The sequence below is a fragment of the Homo sapiens genome, chromosome 9, assembly GCF_000001405.40.
Source record: "Homo sapiens chromosome 9, GRCh38.p14 Primary Assembly".
Classification (NCBI taxonomy): domain Eukaryota; kingdom Metazoa; phylum Chordata; class Mammalia; order Primates; family Hominidae; genus Homo; species Homo sapiens.
In genome coordinates, this window is record NC_000009.12 from 127,214,384 (window position 1) to 127,233,163 (window position 18,780).

Below are 18,780 nucleotides of genomic sequence, written 5' to 3' on the forward strand. Positions count from 1 at the left end.
TTTTTAGTGCTTTAATATAGAAGCACCTATAGAATTATACTGCTGGTTTGTTTTTTAGTTGTTTAATAACTGTATTTGAGTATTATCGATTTCCTTTGTATTTTATACATTTGGAAACATTATTCTGAGGATTGTCCACAGGCTTAACCAGACAGCCAAAGGCACCATGGCCCCAAAATGGTTACAAGCCATGGTCCAAAGAGACCACTGGAGGGAGCCCTGGAGGCTGCTTTCTCTGCATGTTCCAGCTCACCTGGGGCCGACCTTCCCACTTTAGTTACCCGTGTTTACATTTCTCTTTATGCCAGTCACCAGCTGACCCTCCTACGTGGCCCTCTTCTTAACTCATGGTTTCTCTACCCATCAGGCAATGTTTACAAGTTTCAGACTGGTTCCCGATTTCATGCAATACTGTGGCACAAGCATTTGGATGATGCATGTAAAAGCAACAGGCCTCAGGTAAAGTCATCAAAATCCTGCTTGTCACCTGAAATATCCTCTCCCACCCTTGGAACTAAGGGTCTTTAGAAAACAGGGTTCCCTTCTTCTTTCAGAGCCCATTAGCCACACTCTCAGATACCCTCTTCTGATCAGCATCTTCCCTTGAGACAAGGCACCCCCTTGCTCAGCTTAGAACTAAGCCCAGCTCCAGACCAGAACTTTGAATCTGGTTCCTGTGTCTTTCCCACAATAGGAAATGCCACAGAAACACCCACTGGGGGATGATTATGAGCAGCTGTGATATCACCCCAGGATCAGGTTCTAGCATCTATTTAGGTCATCCCTGCCAAGAGCTGACTTCATGGGAATACTCCAGACTCACTAAAGGGCCTCCCTGCCCCACAACCCTTGGGAATAATGCGGCTAGCTAACTTACTGACAGCCAGCCATGGACCACGCAAAGCTGCTGGTGAAAGGGGGTCCCTAGCTTCTCAGTGTGTTTGAGCCAGCAGGATCTGTCTTGACATAGGCCCTCTCTGGCCTGGCTCATGGTATGGCCCCCTCCCCTGGTCGCCCCCAGCCGTCCCACGAAGGGTGTTATGCGAAATGTTTCCCATGCAGGAATTGGCTGAATTCTCTCAACATCCCTGTGAGGTAGATTCTCTTACTGTCTCCGTTTTATGCTGAGGGTCCTGAGGCTCAGAAAGGGGCAGACACACATTTAAGGTCCCACATTAGTGAGCAGTGGAGCTGGGATTGAACCCAGGTCTGCCTGACTCCCCCGATTGTCTGCTTGTTGCCCCTGAGCCCTCCTGCCTCTCCTGCCTCCACTTCCCTGGTAACCCCTGCAGCTGAGCAAAAGACTGGAAGCACATCCCCAGCTGTCAAGGCTTATGAGAGAAATGGCTACCTGAGCCCTCAGCAGCAGATGGGGGCGGGCTGAAGCCTCCTGCTCCCTGGGGGTCAGGTGGGCAGCACTGATGCTCCTGTCCCTAAGTGTCCATGTGTGTTTTCCCCAGGGATCAGCCAGAGGAGGAGCGGGGGAAGCAGGAGTCCTCTCCTAGCCCATCTTGGGAGGGCTAGGCGCATGGCATAGAGGGTGGCGCTTCAAGGAGGACAGTTAGGCGTAGTGCCTGGGAGTAGACTCAGCAGGCCCCTTGCAGGCAGCAGCTCTGAAGTCTGGGGGACCTCAGCAAAGGCAAGTTCATACCAGGCATTTGGGTCCAGGAGGATGGGGACTTCATGGTGCCACGTGGCACAGTCACAGACTTCCTGGTCCCTCCAAGTGGTTCTGGAAGCTGAAGGGAGGTCTCTAGTGACAGTGACAGGTCCTAGGGCTCTGTGCTCAGCTCGGTCTGTAACACAGATGAGGACAAATACAAGAAGCTGATTGCAATTACAGATGATAAGTTAGAAAGCAGAATTAGCAAGTTCTCAGAATTAGTCCTCGACCAACTAAAACAGGACAAGACCAATACAAGAATAAACATGAGGTGCCACAGGGAGGTTCCAAATAGATTGCACTTGATTCCCTTGACTCACCCATCTGACTTCGGGGAATTTGTCATAGGGATGTGTACACACATGTGCTCAAAGATGTGTTTAAGAATGTTCACTGCAGCATTGTTCTTGATAGGAACCAAAACCCTGGAAGCCTCTGTGACCCTTAGGGGGACCCTATTGTGTGACACTTGATAGTTATTAGAAAGAGGCAGATCAGGGCAAAAACATTTGGAAAGGATGATCTCATCTGTATAAAAGTTCTAAGATGATACACAAGAAATGGTAATTCTGTAGCTTCTAGAGAGCTTTATGTATAGTTTGTACACTGAATAAATGTAATTGGCCATCCGTATGACAGGAAGACAAGGGTTTTGGTCGGCAGCCATCTCAAGGTGATCCATTGAGACAAGGTGCCAAGACCTGAACAAGGCTGCCGCCGCCCCAGCTTGCATTAAGAGAGGAAGAGCATCCTGGCCTCCTCCATACTGGTCACACCATGTGTGTCTGGGGTCCCTCAGTAGCTCTGAGGGCCGCTCTCTTAAGAGCATAGCACACTGAAGCTCCCCTACCACACACAGGAAGCCGGAGCAGCTCCAGGTCCAACAGGAACTGACAGCCACGAGGTGGACCACCTGGAGGGCGGTGCGGGGAAGGAGGCAGGGCCCTGTGCCTGAAGCCTGGGCACCATGGTGGCCCCAGTCAGGAGCAACAGTGGTAGCCCTGAGTAAAACCCATTGTCCCTCTTTGGAGGAGCGGCCAGAGGATGACAGCAGCCCCAGCAGGCAGCAGTGCCTGGGCAGGCTGATCCAGCAGAGCACTAATGGGTCAGTTTCATGTATTGGCAGATGTGGTGTAGCATGGCAAGGCTACAAGTTTTAAGGATTTTTGTCTGATTTTCAGACCTGGAGGAGGGGATTTTTCTTCCTACTTTCCCCCTTTTTTATTTCTAATTTACTTTCAACCAAATATTCCCACTATGTGCTATATGTAATAATAAAAAGTTGACAACAACTGAAATATTCAACAGCAGAGGATGATTTAAGTGAATCACAGTACATCCGTGTGATGGAATGCCAGGAGGGTGTAAGAAAGAGTGTGACAGAAATGCATCTATTCACAAGGAAACATCGCAGTGACTAGAGTGATTTTCTGTTCTGTGGAACTGCATGTCCTAAACTTGTTTTTATTAACACTGAATACACTTAAACCTTATCTATAACATATGTATAGGTATAAACAACAGCAATAAAACACCTTATTGCCACCATGAGCCTAACAGCAGAGCCACCAGGGCCTTGGAATGCTGTCCCTCACCATGGCCTCTTCCTAATTCGGTTTCTCTCCCTCCCACCTGTGCCCCAGCACCACTCTCCTGATTTGTTTGCTGATTATTCCTTTAGAATTGCAGGTCACGTACTTGATTCCTTCATGTGTTGTCTGGGGTGCATTTTTAAACTTTCTTATAAATAGAACCATAAAGATGCATTTTCTTGTGTCTTGCTTTTCTCCTGTAACATGTTCCTAGGATTCATCTGTGTTACCACATGTAGCAGTCATTCATTTATTTTTACTCATTTTGTTTTTATTAGTTCTTCTGTTGGACATCCCAGGACTGATTTTCCGCTTTTTTGCTATAGTGAACAGTACTGCTAATGACCATTCTTATAACTGTCTCCTGGTACATGGAGATGCATTTTTTTCCTAATTCATAGTTTGACCAAACTGACACCAAAATGGATTTTTTTAAATGAAATTATTTCTAATCAAATCCTCCCACAGCAGTGCTGAGGGAGGAGGTCTGGGGCTGAGGACCTGTTGGCAGCTTTTGGGGGTGGCAGAAACACTCTGACCTTGGGGCTAGTGGTCCCGCCAGTAAAGGGGTCTAGGATCTTGTCCTGAGGGCAGAGCTGTGGGAAGGTCTTGGGGTTTCTGATATCCCTGAACTGACTCTTTCTCCCATGCTTCCCTTTGCCAACTCCAGCCACCCACCCTCTGCACACACCTCAGGCCTTCAGGATTTGTCTCTCTGCCCCAAGCGCAGTTTGATTTTCACTGAAGGAGATAGGTTAAGAGCATGGGCTCTGGGTTCTTAGCCCTGCTGCTTACTTGCTGTGTACTGAACCTCCCTAAGCCTCAGTTTCCTGTCTTTGTAATGAGGACGATCCCAGTGCCTGCCCCAGGGGTTGAAGTGAGGACTCAAGAACGCAGTGCATGCGGTGGATTCAGAGCAGTGCCTGGCACGCAGCTGCCACTTCACATGGGGTGGCTATTGTTATTGCCATACCCTCTCCCTACCCAACCTGCTCATTCCCAGACTCACGGGGAAAGGCCTGTCCCTTCCCCTAGGGACCACCACCCCTTGTCCTTCTCTGAGGTCGGAACTTTAACAAGAGGCTGAGCTTTCTCTTCTAGGTACCTGCAAACCTTATGTCATTTGAGTAAGTCTCTGCAGGACGTGGCATGACTTCAGAGGCTTCTGGGAACCCAGGCTGGGCCTGGTGGTGAAGAGCAGTCCTGGGCACAGGCTGTGAGCCAGGGTGCTGGGAAACTCACAGCTGGACTCAGGGGACACGGCCTGTGGCCTCACCATCCCAGAGGGCTTCACCAGTGTGGGATCCACCTGTCAGTCCCCAGCGACTCTCATGACACTCATTCTGCAGCACCGCCTCTTGGGGCAGTGGTCAGACCCCACACGCCCTCTCTGGGCCCACCACCTGCATCTGCGACTAGAGAGCACCCGGCCCACGTTGGGTTCTCAGTGCTTTCTACTGCACAGAGTGGACAGCGCTAACTAACCTGTGAGAGGGGCCCGAGAGAAGGAACAGCTGTGGAACAGGCTTTTTACACCCCAAGTGCATGGGGTTGCTCGCCCACAGGGCTGCCTCAGATTTTGTACAACCCCGAAGCGTCCTCTGCGTGTGCGTGCTGTACGTGTGTGTGTGTGTGTGAGCGAGTGTGAACTCTTCAAGAAACATGCATTTTGGCACAAGACTCGTGACATCACACACTTCATTCGCTTTGAGGCCCTGCTTTAACCTTAAGTTATAGCCCTGTCCACCGAGGAAGGTCAGGGTGAGAGCCTAGATTCCTCCTGTGTCAAGGGTCCCTCGCATTCTTTTACTGTAAACAAACAATGCCTTAAATTGTGTCTTGTTTTCTGTTCCTATGGGTGCTATTCATCTGGAAGGCCTGCTTCCAGGCCTCTTTGCTGTCAGCCCTTCTGAGACAGGACCTGGCTTCAGGACTGTGGACTGGGCTGCTGGCCTGCTTGCTTCCTCCCTTCCCCATTCCTAGCAGGGCCTGAGGCCCTCCTCTTCTCGCCCTTCCCACCATGCCAGAATGGGAAGTTGTGACGTTGCAGCTCCAACCGACGTGCTCATAGTGATCAGCTGTGCAGGAGCCATGAGGCACCAACCTCTCCCCGCAGGGCAAAGCCTGTGCCCCCATCATCTCACTCCTTTGCCTGCACTGCCAGGGTGGGGCCCACCAAGATTCCTGATCATGACGGGAAGCTGAGTGACCCTGAGGCCTTAAGCTTCCCCAGTCTTGGCCCCAAATGCAGTCACCAGCAAGTTTTCCATTTTCCAAGTCCAAGGGCACAATTGTTGATGACCGTGTGACAATAGAGCGAAGCCCCGGGGAGTGAACGGTCCAACCTCTGCATTCAGTTAGGAGCTCTTCACATGAATCACATCCTTATCTGTCACCTTGTGTCACATTTTAAAGTGACTTTTATTTTGCACAAATAATTTTTATTCAGAATAATAAATCACTCTTTATCATAGTATCTTCTCTTCCCTCTTCCCCTTTAGTTTGGATAGCCTAACTCTGAGAAGTTAACCCTTAAACAGTTTTCTGGAAGAGACTGAATTTCTGGGTCCTTGCAGCTGTGATGGTTTCAGAGCTCAGACTGATCAGGCATCAAGCTACCCTCAAGAGTTTCTGGGCTGGATGTTTCAGAACAACATCTACACCAGTAAAGTGTAATAGGTCAGTTTCAAAACGACCAAAAGACCCACCACTGTATTTTGACCAAATAATGACAACTTCTTTAGAAATTTGAATGGCTTGGTGAGGAAAGTAGTTGTCACCAGGGCCTCATTTTGTAGTTGAGCCTTACAATGCTTAGTAGTTCATCTTCTTTTTGAGCAAAGACTAGAATACTTTCCTCCTAAGAGAAACTCCCAGGTGATAAAAGTTGATGCCATCAAACCTTGACACCGGGTGCTCTGCACACCCACGCGGATGTTGCACCTCATTCTCCCGATGACTATTCAAATCAGCATCTAGAGGCTGAATGACAATGCCAAACACTCCACCTCTGATCAGAACCATGCAGTGTTAACACTTTAACCTACATTGAATCTGATTCTACCTGTTAACTTTTAAAAAGTCGTAAGTTTGGATGAAAGTGCAAGATGTGGAACATCAACTACCTATTTTCCTTGGGTTTTTCCACTCTGCAAACTGTCCTGGTTTTTCACACCAATGAAGTATTATAGATGCCAATCCAAAACCTCAGAATTTCAGGCACCACAAAAACAGGTAATTTTCTATCCCTTATAAGTTTGTCTTTTCTTTCAGAAACATCTCTTAGCCTAATTTGAAATAGCACAATCACAATTCAAAATGTTTAGTCTTCTCACTAATTGAGTCTGCTTCCACGTCCTCTCCCAGGAACATTCTTAGCTCGGACTCTTGAAGAATCTCTTTAGATTTTGTTGGCAAAAGCCTTATAGAAGCAGTAAGAGGCTTGACCACGCCGGAAGAGTCCTGGAGCTAAAGCTGGAAGACACTCAGCTCTCTAAGCAGGGGCTCGGCCAAACATGGGAGTTAAGTGCTGCTTGTCTTCCCAGTGTTGGTTTGAACCCTGTGAGCCTGAGACAGAGAGGGCCAGGCACCAACCACAAGGCGGGAAAGTCCATGGGTAGACCCTCCCCCTGGAGGGAAGCATTTCTAGTTTTTGCTCCTTGACTGTCCAGAGTGTACAAATGTTCATAACGCCATTGAAGGGATTATTTCTTGCATGCATATGCTGAATTTTTTTAAGCAAATGGATCATGGCACCCCAAAATGAAAGTTATAGAAAGCTGTCTACAACTGTGGAGTTGGTAGCTGGTAACATTGTTGTCTCAAGAACAACTCACCTCTCTCCCTAGGACTAATTTTTGTCTCTCTCAGTTGAACATGTTTTGTCATTCAAGATCAGTCAGGTGCATTCTGGCAACTGACATACTTGATGGAGGATTGATTCGGTAGAGAGCAGTAGAAATCTTGTTCTAACTGTGCCTGGTGAGAGACTTTGGCCCCCTCCCTCCCTATAAGGCTGTGGAACCTGAGGAAGTAGATACTTGAAGAGATTCTGTTTAGGAAGAAACTCACTCTCTTTTGCCAGTTGAATTTATAGAGCATTTTTTTTCTTACCAAGATGGCCAGTATCATTTTACCCCCACCTCCCAAGCCCCAAGAGGTGTACCTTTTCAGATGCCATTTTACAGGCGGAAATGCTCCATGAAACAGGAAGCCACTTGCAAGCAACATCTGCTCTGTTCCTCAGGTGGGGCCCAGAGCCCTTCCCCGAGACTGCTGATGTCTGTAACCACTGGGGAGCACTGCCAAAAATACAGCTTTCTGGTTTGTGAGCCCATAAATGACTTAAATCAGCTTTACATCATTTTTACATATCAAGTGGTTTCATGTTAAAAAACAAACTCCTAGTCCTTTAGAAATAACAGATTCTCTGCACAAAACCACCCATTCATTCATTTATTCATTCACAGCACTAGCAAGTGCTGCCTATGCTGAGAACAAGTCAGATCTGATCCCTGCCCTCATGGACCTGACCACTCAACAAACAGTCCCCACCACACCTATCTCCTTAGGCAAGACTTTGCCTCTCTCCTAGTCCTGAGTATAAATCCTGTGCATAGATTCCTCTAGAAAGGCATCAAAAGGCTCAACAGACTGAATGGCCTCTTGGTCTGCGAAAATTCAGTTGCAATGAGGATGAAGTCACTATCCTAGAGGCTGCTTGGCCCAGAAGAGCCAGGCACAGAGCTGCAGTTGGGCACGCCAAGGATTCCAAAGGTGGAATGAGAGAGTAGGGTCAAACTGTCACAGTATCTGCTCCATAGGTTTCTGTTTTTAATTTCAATGTTAAATACAACTACAATATGAGCGAGAACTGCATTTTCTTGGGTGTTGAGAACTTGTACCATGGACTTCAGACCGCCTTGCAGCCGTATGCTGCACAAGCGTGTACACCCCCTGGGCAGCCTCAAAACCCCGCTTACAGCAGCAACACAGGAGATCATCTGTCCATTTTAGAACCATTAATCTCTTTATCCATTGCTGAACGACTGTGACTATTCAGTAACGAAGTAATAGTAATTAATTAGTATGGTATAATCTTTAATAAATTTCGTGCCAAAATGCATGGTTTTCCACTTAGCATTCAAAATGTTGCATAGAGAGTAGTTTTCAATTTCTTATGTACTCTTCGAAGTAAGTTGAAAATCAGTTTCTACATTTTAATTCGTTTCCTGTTAAATCTGTTGCACTCTCCTGGGCTGTCTTTTTCTCCAGCAGACCCCTGCATGCAGTTGTGTAAGGACTTTCTCTAATTCTTGTGAATCGTCTCACCCGCAGTAACCACTGAACGTCAATCAGCCCTCCATGGGGTTCTTTCGATTTTTGGTGAAGTATTTTGTTACCTCAGTCTTGTATCAAGTTGCTGTATTTTTCAGCTTGTTACATTGATAATAATTATTTCACTAATTAAATACTTTAATGTACAAACATCTTTGTTTACTTTGAAATTAAATGTGTTTTCCAATGAATGTTGCTCAGTTTATTAAAGTCACACACATTCACTTAGCAAACAGTTGCTGTTTCAGATAGACACAAAGGAGGCATGGGGTGCCCAAAACTCAGCTAGGACGTAACCAGAACATAAAAACCCTGCAGGAGCAGCATCCTCAGGAAGGGACAGGCACTCCAGGGAGAGAGGCAGAAGACCTGGGGATGCTTTAGAGAGCAGTGGGTATTTGGAGATTCAGTTCAGAGGCTGCAGAACACATGAAGGGTGGGGGCAATAGGGAGACAGAAATGAGAAGGAGCAGGATGAGGCTGGGAAAAAGGAGGCAACCTGATCTCACTGAGTACAGGTTTTGCGGGAGTAATGGGATTTAAGTCTGAAAAGATATGTTGGGAGGACTTCATGGTGTTAGGCAAAAATCCAGAACTCCATTATACCTCGCTTGGAGAAAAAGGGCTGTCTTAAACGGGTTATCTCATGGAAACCTGAGGGGAGGACCAGGGGCATCTCTAGAGGGGCTGGAAGGACAAATAGAAACACCTCGTCTACATCTTTCGGTGCTATCTGGGCAGCCCCTTCATTCTCTCACAAAGTTCAGGCCTTACCAAGAAAGAACCTGGAAGTCACTGAGGAAGTGTGCACCAGGGGGTGATGTAATCCAAGTTAACTATAGGATCCCCTGGCCCGGACTGCCTCAGTTTCCCAGCCAGTGCCTTCCAAATCTGCAGTGGCCAGTCCCCCAAGCACAGGTTCCCCCCAACAAGCACACTCCTCGGGCTCTGCTCCACCATCCCAGTTCCAGGCCAGCATGGCCACACCTCCCTAGCTACGACAAAACCCCGCTTGCCGAGGTAGCCCTAGCTTACCTCCTCCTCCTGATTTAGACAGCACGGTGGCCCCAGCTTTACCCAGATGGGGTCGCTGCCCTCAGTCACAGTGCAGTGTTCAAGGTCCCTGAGAAGAATGCATTTGACTTAGCGAAGTGGGGATGGGGTTGGAGGTTGTCACAGTTGGAAACTAACAGTCAAGACTCGAACCCACCACAACTGGTATCCAGCAAAGCTCCAGCCCCTTAGCATCAAGGCGTCAGGCGCCACAAACGGCCACCAGGAGACAGCAATACCTCCCCCTTGATGGGTGGCGGGATCCCGGAGCCAACGCAGACCGGACGTCGGAACGCCGCTTTAGCCCCGGGTGCGGGCATCTACCCAGCGCGGAGCCTGCGGGCAGGCTGGGCGACGGCACGGGAGGAGGGAGTGGCTGGGCGGGGCCACCGAGTTTGGGCGGGGCCTCTCGCGGCTGGGCGGGGCTGTGGCGGGCCCTGTCAGAGCAGAACTGAGCAGGCGGTGGAGCTGGGTCTGGTCCGGGCACGGAGTGGGGGCTTCGAAGGGAAAAGGCGGGGCTCCTGGGGGCGGAGCCATACCTGTGGGCGGGACATGGGAAAGGAGGGCCCGAGGGGCGGAGCTACAATAGAAAGGGCCAGGAGGTGCTGAGGCGAGGAGAGGCCGAACTCCAAGGGACGACGCTCGCGGAAGCAGAGGTTTGGGGTGAGTGCGAGGGCCTTGCGCGAGCTCAGTAGTGCAGGGGTAGGTGAGCGGGGCCTGGGTCTGTGCCGAGGGGCAAGCAGCAGGAGGGGTGGGGTCGTGGACGGGACAGTCGAGGTTAGGGTGGGCGTTTTGGGCCTGTGGGCCTCGCAGAGGTGCAGAAAGCCGGCGGCAAGAACCCCGCGGGGCTGGCGCGGGAGGGGCGTTACCGGAGCGCGGGGCGGGGCGTGGGCGGGGCGTGGGCGGGGCGTGGGCGGGGCCTGCTCCGGGCTGAGGGCGCGGGGGAAGCAGAGCTGGAGTTGGGAGCGGGGCCGGGGCGGGGCCTGTAACAGGCTGAGCGGGCGCGGGGCGGGGCCGGGACCAGGGTGAGTGATCGCGGGGCGGGGCTTGGGCCCAGCGGAGGGTCTGGGCAGGCTGGGGTTCGGGGCGGGGCTGGGGCGGGGCCTGAACCAGGATGAGAGGCGCGAGGCGGGCTGGGCTGTGGTTCGGGGCGGCGCCGGGGCGGGGCCTGGGCCCAGCGAGGGGAGAGGGGCGGGACGTGGGCTGCGGCGCGCGAGCCGAGCGGCCGGCCGAGGCCCGAGCCCACCCGAGTGCGCCCGAGCCCGCGGCCCCCGCCCGGGGCGATGGAACCGGAGCCCGGCGGGGTGGCCGCTGCGCTCCTGCGGCAGAAGAGGGCGGCGCTGCGGCGCAGGGGGTGCAGCTTCGAGAGCCCAAGGTACTGCGGACGGGGAGGGGTGCGGCCGGGCGGGGTGCCGGCCACGTGGGGGGATGGCGATGTGAAGGGACAGCGGGGCGAGGCCGTGGCGTGGGAAGGGTCTGCGGAGGTTCTCAGGAGACCGGGCGCGGAGCCCGGGCTGAACGGCCGTGGGCTGTGGGAGGGGCCGGGCCGTCGCGCGGGAGGTGCAGGGACGGGTGTCGGGCGTCCAGAAGCGTCGGTCCAGTGGCAGGCCCCGCACGCCCGCGGCTTCGGCGGGGCATGGGCTGAGGAGAATGTGCCCTGCCCACCTCTGGTAAACCCTCAAGGGCAAGGTCGGGAGCTCACCCCTCCGTCCACTGGAGGCTTCCTTCCGGCGCCCGCGTGCCCTGGCAGCCGCACACCTGCTGCCTCCGCGGCCCCCGCGCCCCTCGCGCCCCTTGCGCCCCTCGCGCCCCTTGCGCCCCTCTCCCTCGCGACGCCGGCCTCTGCCCGGGCCGCCGGCGCCCCTAGGCTGCTCTTCCCCCGGGGCCTCTCACGGGACTACAGCCGCCCGGGCGCGTGCCCTCCCTCAGCTTCCCTGGCAGTCCCTGAACTTGGAACGGATTCTCCTGCTTCGACGTCGCTCAAGTCGGCCCTACCATTTTCTCAGGTCTTGGAGATGACTCCAACGTCCTCTCAGCCACACTTCCCATCTCTGTTCTGACACCTCTGAAATCCACACCCCAGCCGGCCGCGAAAGAGGTCTTCCTAAAGCCGTGACTGTGCCCTTCGCGGCCAACACCCCTTGAGGAGCTCCCCATCACCCGCAGCAGTGGTAGGGACCAGAGTGGGGGACAGAGAGAGAGAAGGATGTGGACTCCGACCCGCACTGAGGCCAATAAGAGGGTTCCATTGCTAGGATAAAAAGCAAACTAACCAGGATCCTTAAGATGAAGTGCGGGGCCCTTGACTTGGCCTTTTCCCTCCATCCTCAGTTCTTGGCATTCCCTGCCTCACCCTTGGCGCTCCAGCAGTACTGGTGAGCCTGGCATATAAGCATCGCGGGGGCAGAGAACAGAGCTGTCCTGGTCACCCCTGGGTGCCCAGAGCTGGCTCAGGCCTGGCCCATGGGACATCATCTGTGTGTTGTATGAGTCAGTGTCTGACCCGCTGGTGCTTCCTCCCTTGTGCTGCACTGTTTCTCATCTGGGCCCTTATTCATATCACACTCTTCTCTCTACTTAGAATTTTCTTTCCTTTCCTCTCTGTATACGCCCACCCCTCCTCCTTCGGAAGTCTTCCTTGAACCCCAGATTGAGCTCTTTGCTGTATTAATAATCTGTGCACCTGTCTTCAAGTCCACATAACACTGCGTGTAGTTACCCAGGTAGTATGTCTCCCCCACTAGACTTGGAGAACCAGACAGATAACGGTCTCTGTGCTCATGGTGCTTACATGCTTGTTGCTGGAGCATGAAGGATGTGAGAAACTGAACCAAGGGATGAGGCTGAAGAGACAAGCCGGAAGCTGGATCCCTCAGGCCTGAAGTGGAATGCATGGAGCAGCGCTGTCCCGTGGAACTTTCCGCAGTGATGGAAACCTATAATCCATGCTGTCTGTTACGGTAGCCTCTAGGCACCTGTGGCCATGCAGCACTTGTAATGTGGCTAGTTGAGCTAAGGAACTGAATTTTACATTTTATTTAGCTTTAATTAATTTAACCGCCTAGGACTAAAGTCTACCATATTGGGCAGTGCCAGTTTAGAAAATGTTTCCCTTTGAATTCCCACTTTTATTACCCTCTCCTTTGTCTTCATAACCTTACACCTGAAAGACTAATGATTTCCTGGCCTCCAGAGTTTTCTTATTCTCTATTTGATACTCCATGACATTATCTTATCAGCTGTAGGATAATAATGATTATCATTTTTTCTGACTATAAAACTAATTTGTGGGCCAGGCGCAGTGGCTCATGCCTGTAATCCCAGTACTTTGGGAGGCCGAGGCGGATGGATCATTTGAGGTCAGGAGTTTGAGACCAGCTTGGCCAACATGGTGAGACCCCATCTCTACTAAAAATACAAAAATTAGCCGGTTGTGGTGGTAGGCGCCTGTAATCCCAACTACTGAGGAGGCTAAGGTTGGAGAGTTGTTTGAACCCAGGAGGCAGAGGTTGCAGTGAGCTGAGATTGTGCCACTGCACTCCAGCCTGGGCGACAGAGTGAGACTCCGTCTCAAAAAAAACAAAAAACAAAAAAAAAACCTAATTTGTGGCTGGGCATCGCGGCTCACACCTACACTCAATGCATTGGGAGGCTGAGGCACGGGGACCGCTTGAGGCCTCAGGAGTTCAAGACTAGTCTGGGCTACATAGCAAGACCCCATCTCTACAAAAATTAAAAGAAATTAGCCAGGCATGGTGGCACATGCCTGTAGTCTCAGCTACTCCAGAGGCTGAGTCAGGAGGATCACTTGAGCCCAGGAGTTTGAGGTTATAGTGAGCTGTGATTGCACCACTGCACCCCAGCCTGGGCAACAGAGCAAGACCCTATCTCAATAAAATAAAACAAAACTAATTTGTGTTTGTGAGAAGAAATCTGAAAAATCAAGAAAAATATAAAGAGGATAATTAAATGTTTATTTACCCATAATACCACTAGGTATTAACTAGCCTTTTTTCTTAACTATGTATGTGTATATTTATATTAATGTTTTAACTTGCTTTTCCACTTAATATAGTGTAAGGATTTCCACACATCCTTAAACATTTCTGAAATCTCTTTTAAATTGCTGCCTGGTATTCTGTCATATGGATATATTACCATTTATTTATTGGACACATGTAGTTTACTTACAGTTTTTCACTCTTACTAAAGATGCTGTAAATCCATGTGCATTTGTTTAGCTATGAAGAGGTCAACTTTTATAAACAGGTCATCATAAATTTATAGAAGTGATGGGAGTTATTGGATCAAAGAAAATGAACATTTTAAAGCCTTTTGAAGCATAATGCTAAATTGCTCACCAGAGAGTTGCACCAATTTATAGTCCCCCAAGGGCATATGAGTGTGCCTGTTTTTCCCCACTCTCAATACTAGGCATTATCATTTATAAATATTTGCCAAAGTGGTACCTTGTTTTAATTTGAATTTCTTTGTTTCATAGTGAGGTGAAACTTTTCCTTGTATTTATCCATAATTTATACTTATTTTTATGAAATATAGATGCATACACTTTGTCGATTTTCCTTTGGAATGCTTATGCTTTCCTTATTGAATTGAAGCACTTTTTATTTATTTATTAAGGAAATTAATTGTTTAGGTCAAATATATAGCAAATACTTTTTTCAGTTTATTATTTGCCTTTTAATTTTCTTTATGTTTCTGATAAAGCTTTTTTAAATTGTGGTTGTTGTTTTAAAATTTAGTCAGATCTTCCTCCTGTTTATACTTTTTTGTTGTTTGTTTGTTTGTTTTTGAGGCAGAGTCTTGCTCTGTCACCCAGGCTGGAGTACAGTGGCTCAATCTCGGCTCACTGCAACCTCCGCCTCCTGGGTTCAAGCAATTCTTCTGCCTCAGCCTTGAGTAGCTGGGATTACAGGCGCATGCCACCACACTCGGCTAACTTTTGTATTTTTTAGTAGAGACCGGGGTTTCACCATGATGGCCAGGCTGGTCTCAAACTCCTGACCTCAAGTGATCCACCCGTCTCGGCCTCCCAAAGTGCTGGGATTACAGGTGTGAGTAACTGTGCCTGGCTCTGTTTATGCTTAAGTAAAAGTGAATTCCTTAACTTAAAACAGATAAATGTTCATCTATACCTTCTCCCCTTATTTTTGTTGCTTCGAAAAACTACCCCTTAATTCATTAATCCAAATTACCTCACAACCCTGACTGTGTGTCAGAATCACCTGTGGACCGTCTTAGCCATACAGGTGCATATGGGTGCCCCTGCTCCAGGCCTGTTGATTCAGAAAGTTCAGGGTGGCACTGGGCCTGTGGATGTTCAGAAAGCTCTGCAGGTGCTTCAGAGGCAACAGCGCCTGCCTCAATTGTGGGCCTGTTACCAGATTGGCCTCCCTTATCCAAAGTCCTTAATTCTTTCTCATTTCCTGTTATATCCATTTTATGTATTTATTCATTTATTTTTGAGACAAAGTCTCACTCTATTGCCCAGGCTGGAGTGCAGTGGCATAATCATAGCTCACTGCATCCTTGAACTCCTGGACTTAAGCGATTCTCCAACCCCAGCCTCCCGAGTAGCTGAGACTACAGGTGAGTGCCACCATGCCCAGCTAACTTTTAAAATTTTGTGTAGAGACTTGATCTCACTTTGTTTCCCAGGCTGATCTCGAAATCCTGGCCTCAAGCTATCCTACTGCCTTGGCTTCCCAAAGTGCTGGGTTACAGGCTTGAGCCACCATACCCAGCAGTTTAAATGACTCATGTTTAGGGCTTTTCAGAATCTGGTTTAGCCATATTTACCTAAGCATCTTGTTGGCATCAGGAGAAGAAAGTCCTTATTTTCACTTTGGCAACTCTGTTGGCTAAATATCTGATGTCAGCTCTGATAACTAACTAGCCTGCAGACACAGCAAACTGATGAATGTAAAGGCGAAGGGAATAGCCCAGGCATTAGGCCTCCAGGCAGGGGCAGTGAGAGACTAGCTGGGAAACCTGGATGCAGTAGAATAAGACACTTATGCTGTTAAACCACTTGCCCTGGATGTGTTTGCCATCATTTTGTAGGAAGGCACATCAGATAGTGTTAAAGAACAAGGGCTTTGGAGTGAGACAGACTTGGGTTCAAGTTTCTGTCTTTTCACTCACCACTTGTGAACTTGGACAAATTGCGTAACCCCTCTGAACCTTAGTTAACTCCTTTATAAAATGACCTGCCTCAAAGTATTGCTGTCAGCTTTAAATGAACTAATTAATGCAAAGTGCTAAAAACAGTACCTGGCACAAAGCTTTAGTAAATGGTAACTGCTCTGGACAAAAATGACAAACATTCAGCCGGGCATGGTGGCTCATGCCTGTAATCCTAGCACTTTGGGAGGCTGAGGCAGGCAGATCACCTGAGGTCGGGAGTTCGAACCTGACCAACATGCAGAAACCCCGTCTCTACTAAAAATACAAAATTAGCCGACGTGGTGGCACATGACTGTAATCCCAGCTACTCAGGAGGCTGAGGCAGGAGAATCGCATGAACCCAGGAGGCAGAGGTTGCGGTGAGCCAAGATCGCACCATTGCACTCCAGCCTGGGCAACAAGAGTGAAACTCCATCTCACCAAAAAAAAAAAAAAAAGACGTTTACATAAAAATTCTTCTCAACCTTTTCCTCCCCTTGCCTGATTGAAACTTCGGCTTTGTCTATTCAGTTTTTCCTCCTCCCCTGCCCTCAGAATAAGGTTCTGCTTTGCTTTGTTGCATTTTTGAGCTGCAGATTTAGGAAGAGAGGAGGTGAGGAAAAGGACAATAGGTACCTAGGGAAATGGTTAGGATTGGCTGAACAAAACTTTTAGGGGTGTTTAGAGGTGAAACATACAGGAAAACCTACTTTGTGTGAGGGAAGCTAATACAGGCAAACGATATATATGTGTGTGTGTGTGTGTATACACATATATGTATATATACACATATGTGTATATATACATATATGTATATATACATATATATATATATATTTTTTTTTTTTTTTTTTTTTTGAGACAGAGTCTAGCTTTGTCACCCAGGCTGGAGTGCAGTGGCGCTATCTCGGCTCACTGCAAGCTCCGCCTTCTGGGTTCATGCCATTCTCCTGCCTCAGCTTCCCTAGTAGCTGGGACTACAGGCGCCCGCCACCACGCCCAGCTAATTTTTTGTTTTTTTTTTTTTTTTTGTATTTTTAGTAGAGACAGGGTTTCACTGTATTAGCCAGGATGGTCTAGATCTCCTGACCTCATGATCCGCCCGCCTCGGCCTCCCAACGTGCTGGGATTACAGGCGTGAGCCACTGCGCCCGGCCAGGCAAATGATATTTTAAGACATATATCTGTTGTCTTTTGTCCCTTTGTGGTGATCAAGAAATTGATGAACCAGAGTTATTTTAAAATATTTTCTATTGCTGAGCTGTGTCATTTTGGCTGCAATATTTCATAGAGGCCAAACCACATATGAGCTACCACATTAACAGGGTTATATATTAGTAGGATTGAATTTGTGAGGTAAATCCTGAAGATCAAATAATCTCAACTTTGAATGGAACTTTAGACATCACCTAGGTCAACTGCTCAGACATTGCTTCTCAAAGTGTGGTCCCTGGACCAGCAGCATCTGCATTCCCTAAGAACTTGTTAGAAATCAGATTCTCAAGCCTCACCCCAAATCTACTTAGTCGGAATCTGTGGAATGGGGCTAACGAAACTGAGTCAGATTGCTAATACAGTTCTCAAACAGAGCATAGATAGGAGGAGGGCTTCTTAAAACACAGTTGCCTGAGCCCCACCCCCAGAGATTCTGATTCACAAGGTCATCAGTGGGTTCTATGAATCTGTGTTTTTAACACGCTCATAAATAATGCCATACTGCTGGCCCAGGGACATACAGTACTTCAAAAACCAACCCTCTGAGTAATACCAGAATCTTTCCTGCAACAACCTTTGTAGTTGATCATTTGGCTTCTGTTTCTTACATCTAAGGTCCAGGAGCCCACCACTTCATAAAGCAAGCCTTTTTAATATTGAGCAGCTGCATTAGCTTTCCCTGAGAGTGAAGTCAAAGCTTGCCTCATTATTCTTGCCACCCATCACTCATGATGCTCTCATGGCCACTTGCAGTACCAATGTTCGTAGGCTGATTCCAGGTGTAGCCTTAATTGTCAGGTGGCTCTTACCCACTTGTAATCACCATTGAACCCTTCTCCTTCAGCTACTGAAGCAGGAGTAGTAACTCATCAACATCCCTTCTTTTTGTCTTTTTAAAAGACAGATTCTCACTCTGTTGCCCAGGCTGGAGTACAGTGGCATGATCATAGCCCACTGCAGCCTTGAACTCCTGGGCTCGATGATCCTCCTGCCTCAGCCTCCTGAGTAGCTAGGACTACAGGTATGCACAACTACTCCTGGCTAATTTTTAAATTTTTGTGTAGAGATGAGGTCTTCCTGTGTTGCCCAGGCTGGCCTCGAACTCCTAGGCTCAAGTGATCCTTCCACCTTAGCCTCTCAAGGCACTAGGATTACAGGCATGAGGCACCGTGCCCAGCCTGCATTAGCATCTTTCCTGATTGGCTGATATCAGTGCCTTACCAGTAGTTAAATTTTTTCTTAATATTGTCAAAATCTATGAATGACAAGCAAAGGAGAGTTATTGGTTCCTGCAATTGCAAAATGCTGGGGTAGACCAAGTGTTGGGAAAAGATGGCTCCAGGTGCTTGAATAATGACATTAGTAGTCTTCATCTTCTGGGTTGACTTTATGCTCAAGGCCTTTCCTCATCGAGGCAAAGAAAGTTAACTACTCCAGACTTAATTTCAATGTAGGATCCCAGCAGAAATATAGGACTGCTTTCTCAATAATTCTAGCATATGACTTGGCATGGTGGCTTGTGCCTGTAATCCCAAAATTTTTGAGTCCAGGAGGTCGAGGTTTCAGTGAGTCATGATTATACCACTGCACTCCGGCCTGGGTGACAGAGCAAGACCTTGTCTCAAAAGAAAATAAAAAATAAAAATTAGTTGGGCATGGTATTGCATGCCTGTAGTCCCAGCTACTCAGGGGGCTGAGATGAGAGGATCACTAGAGTAGGAGCTTGAGGCTACA

The 18,780-nt window shown here is 48.9% G+C and overlaps 2 protein-coding genes and 1 long non-coding RNA gene across 62 annotated transcripts in view, besides 10 other annotated features; 2 read left to right on the forward strand and 1 right to left on the reverse strand.

Annotated features, from left to right (window-relative positions):
- RALGPS1 (Ral GEF with PH domain and SH3 binding motif 1) overlaps window positions 1-8,783 on the forward strand; it is a 308,385-nt gene extending 299,602 nt beyond the window's left edge. For 29 of the 54 annotated variants that reach the window (XM_011519233.2, XM_047424120.1, NM_001322321.2 and 26 more), the window contains 2 exons: window positions 368-459; window positions 4,357-8,783. In XM_011519233.2, coding sequence (XP_011517535.1) covers window positions 368-459; window positions 4,357-4,386 — 122 coding nt within the window. In that variant the 3' untranslated portion in view covers window positions 4,387-8,783. Of the gene's footprint in view, window positions 1-367 lie in introns of all 54 variants that reach the window. The other 25 variants (NM_001322325.2, XM_047424116.1, XM_047424114.1 and 22 more) reach the window with 3 other exon arrangements.
- Window positions 2,060-2,560: an enhancer, noted in NCBI's record as "H3K4me1 hESC enhancer chr9:129978722-129979222 (GRCh37/hg19 assembly coordinates)". NCBI's record gives its function as "activates a minimal SCP1, AML or CMV promoter by ChIP-STARR-seq in primed H9 embryonic stem cells {active_cell/tissue: H9 hESC(primed)}" and the evidence as "EXISTENCE:reporter gene assay evidence [ECO:0000049][PMID:30033119]".
- Window positions 2,561-3,061: an enhancer, noted in NCBI's record as "H3K4me1 hESC enhancer chr9:129979223-129979723 (GRCh37/hg19 assembly coordinates)". NCBI's record gives its function as "activates a minimal SCP1, AML or CMV promoter by ChIP-STARR-seq in primed H9 embryonic stem cells {active_cell/tissue: H9 hESC(primed)}" and the evidence as "EXISTENCE:reporter gene assay evidence [ECO:0000049][PMID:30033119]".
- Window positions 5,267-5,826: an enhancer, noted in NCBI's record as "H3K27ac-H3K4me1 hESC enhancer chr9:129981929-129982488 (GRCh37/hg19 assembly coordinates)". NCBI's record gives its function as "activates a minimal SCP1, AML or CMV promoter by ChIP-STARR-seq in naive H9 embryonic stem cells {active_cell/tissue: H9 hESC(naive)}" and the evidence as "EXISTENCE:reporter gene assay evidence [ECO:0000049][PMID:30033119]".
- Window positions 8,772-9,990, reverse strand: LOC124902273 (uncharacterized). The gene is made up of 3 exons (XR_007061792.1): window positions 9,803-9,990; window positions 9,628-9,715; window positions 8,772-9,010 (listed from the first exon to the last, which is right to left on the reverse strand). It is a non-coding gene; the product is annotated as an uncharacterized LOC124902273 (long non-coding RNA).
- Window positions 9,048-9,548: an enhancer, noted in NCBI's record as "H3K4me1 hESC enhancer chr9:129985710-129986210 (GRCh37/hg19 assembly coordinates)". NCBI's record gives its function as "activates a minimal SCP1, AML or CMV promoter by ChIP-STARR-seq in primed H9 embryonic stem cells {active_cell/tissue: H9 hESC(primed)}" and the evidence as "EXISTENCE:reporter gene assay evidence [ECO:0000049][PMID:30033119]".
- Window positions 9,549-10,049: an enhancer, noted in NCBI's record as "H3K4me1 hESC enhancer chr9:129986211-129986711 (GRCh37/hg19 assembly coordinates)". NCBI's record gives its function as "activates a minimal SCP1, AML or CMV promoter by ChIP-STARR-seq in primed H9 embryonic stem cells {active_cell/tissue: H9 hESC(primed)}" and the evidence as "EXISTENCE:reporter gene assay evidence [ECO:0000049][PMID:30033119]".
- Window positions 9,549-10,084: a biological region, named in NCBI's record as "H3K4me1 hESC enhancer GRCh37_chr9:129986211-129986711".
- Window positions 9,645-9,704: an enhancer, noted in NCBI's record as "active region_29036". NCBI's record gives its function as "activates an Ori minimal core promoter by ATAC-STARR-seq in GM12878 lymphoblastoid cells {active_cell/tissue: GM12878}" and the evidence as "EXISTENCE:reporter gene assay evidence [ECO:0000049][PMID:35858748]".
- Window positions 9,915-10,084: a silencer, noted in NCBI's record as "silent region_20298". NCBI's record gives its function as "represses an Ori minimal core promoter by ATAC-STARR-seq in GM12878 lymphoblastoid cells {active_cell/tissue: GM12878}" and the evidence as "EXISTENCE:reporter gene assay evidence [ECO:0000049][PMID:35858748]".
- Window positions 10,230-18,780, forward strand: part of GARNL3 (GTPase activating Rap/RanGAP domain like 3) — a 169,048-nt gene continuing 160,497 nt past the window's right edge. For 4 of the 7 annotated variants that reach the window (XM_011519086.4, XM_005252268.3, XM_047423967.1 and 1 more), the window contains exon 1: window positions 10,230-10,308. Coding sequence is in view for 1 of the 7 variants with exons in the window: in XM_005252267.4 (XP_005252324.1) it covers window positions 10,929-11,020 (92 nt within the window). In the remaining 6 variants the exon portion in view is untranslated. Of the gene's footprint in view, window positions 10,309-10,850; window positions 11,021-11,651; window positions 11,817-16,839; window positions 18,068-18,780 lie in introns of those variants that run through there. The other 3 variants (XM_047423963.1, XM_005252267.4, XM_011519087.3) reach the window with 3 other exon arrangements.
- Window positions 10,585-11,304: a silencer, noted in NCBI's record as "silent region_20299". NCBI's record gives its function as "represses an Ori minimal core promoter by ATAC-STARR-seq in GM12878 lymphoblastoid cells {active_cell/tissue: GM12878}" and the evidence as "EXISTENCE:reporter gene assay evidence [ECO:0000049][PMID:35858748]".
- Window positions 12,203-12,252: a silencer, noted in NCBI's record as "silent region_20300". NCBI's record gives its function as "represses an Ori minimal core promoter by ATAC-STARR-seq in GM12878 lymphoblastoid cells {active_cell/tissue: GM12878}" and the evidence as "EXISTENCE:reporter gene assay evidence [ECO:0000049][PMID:35858748]".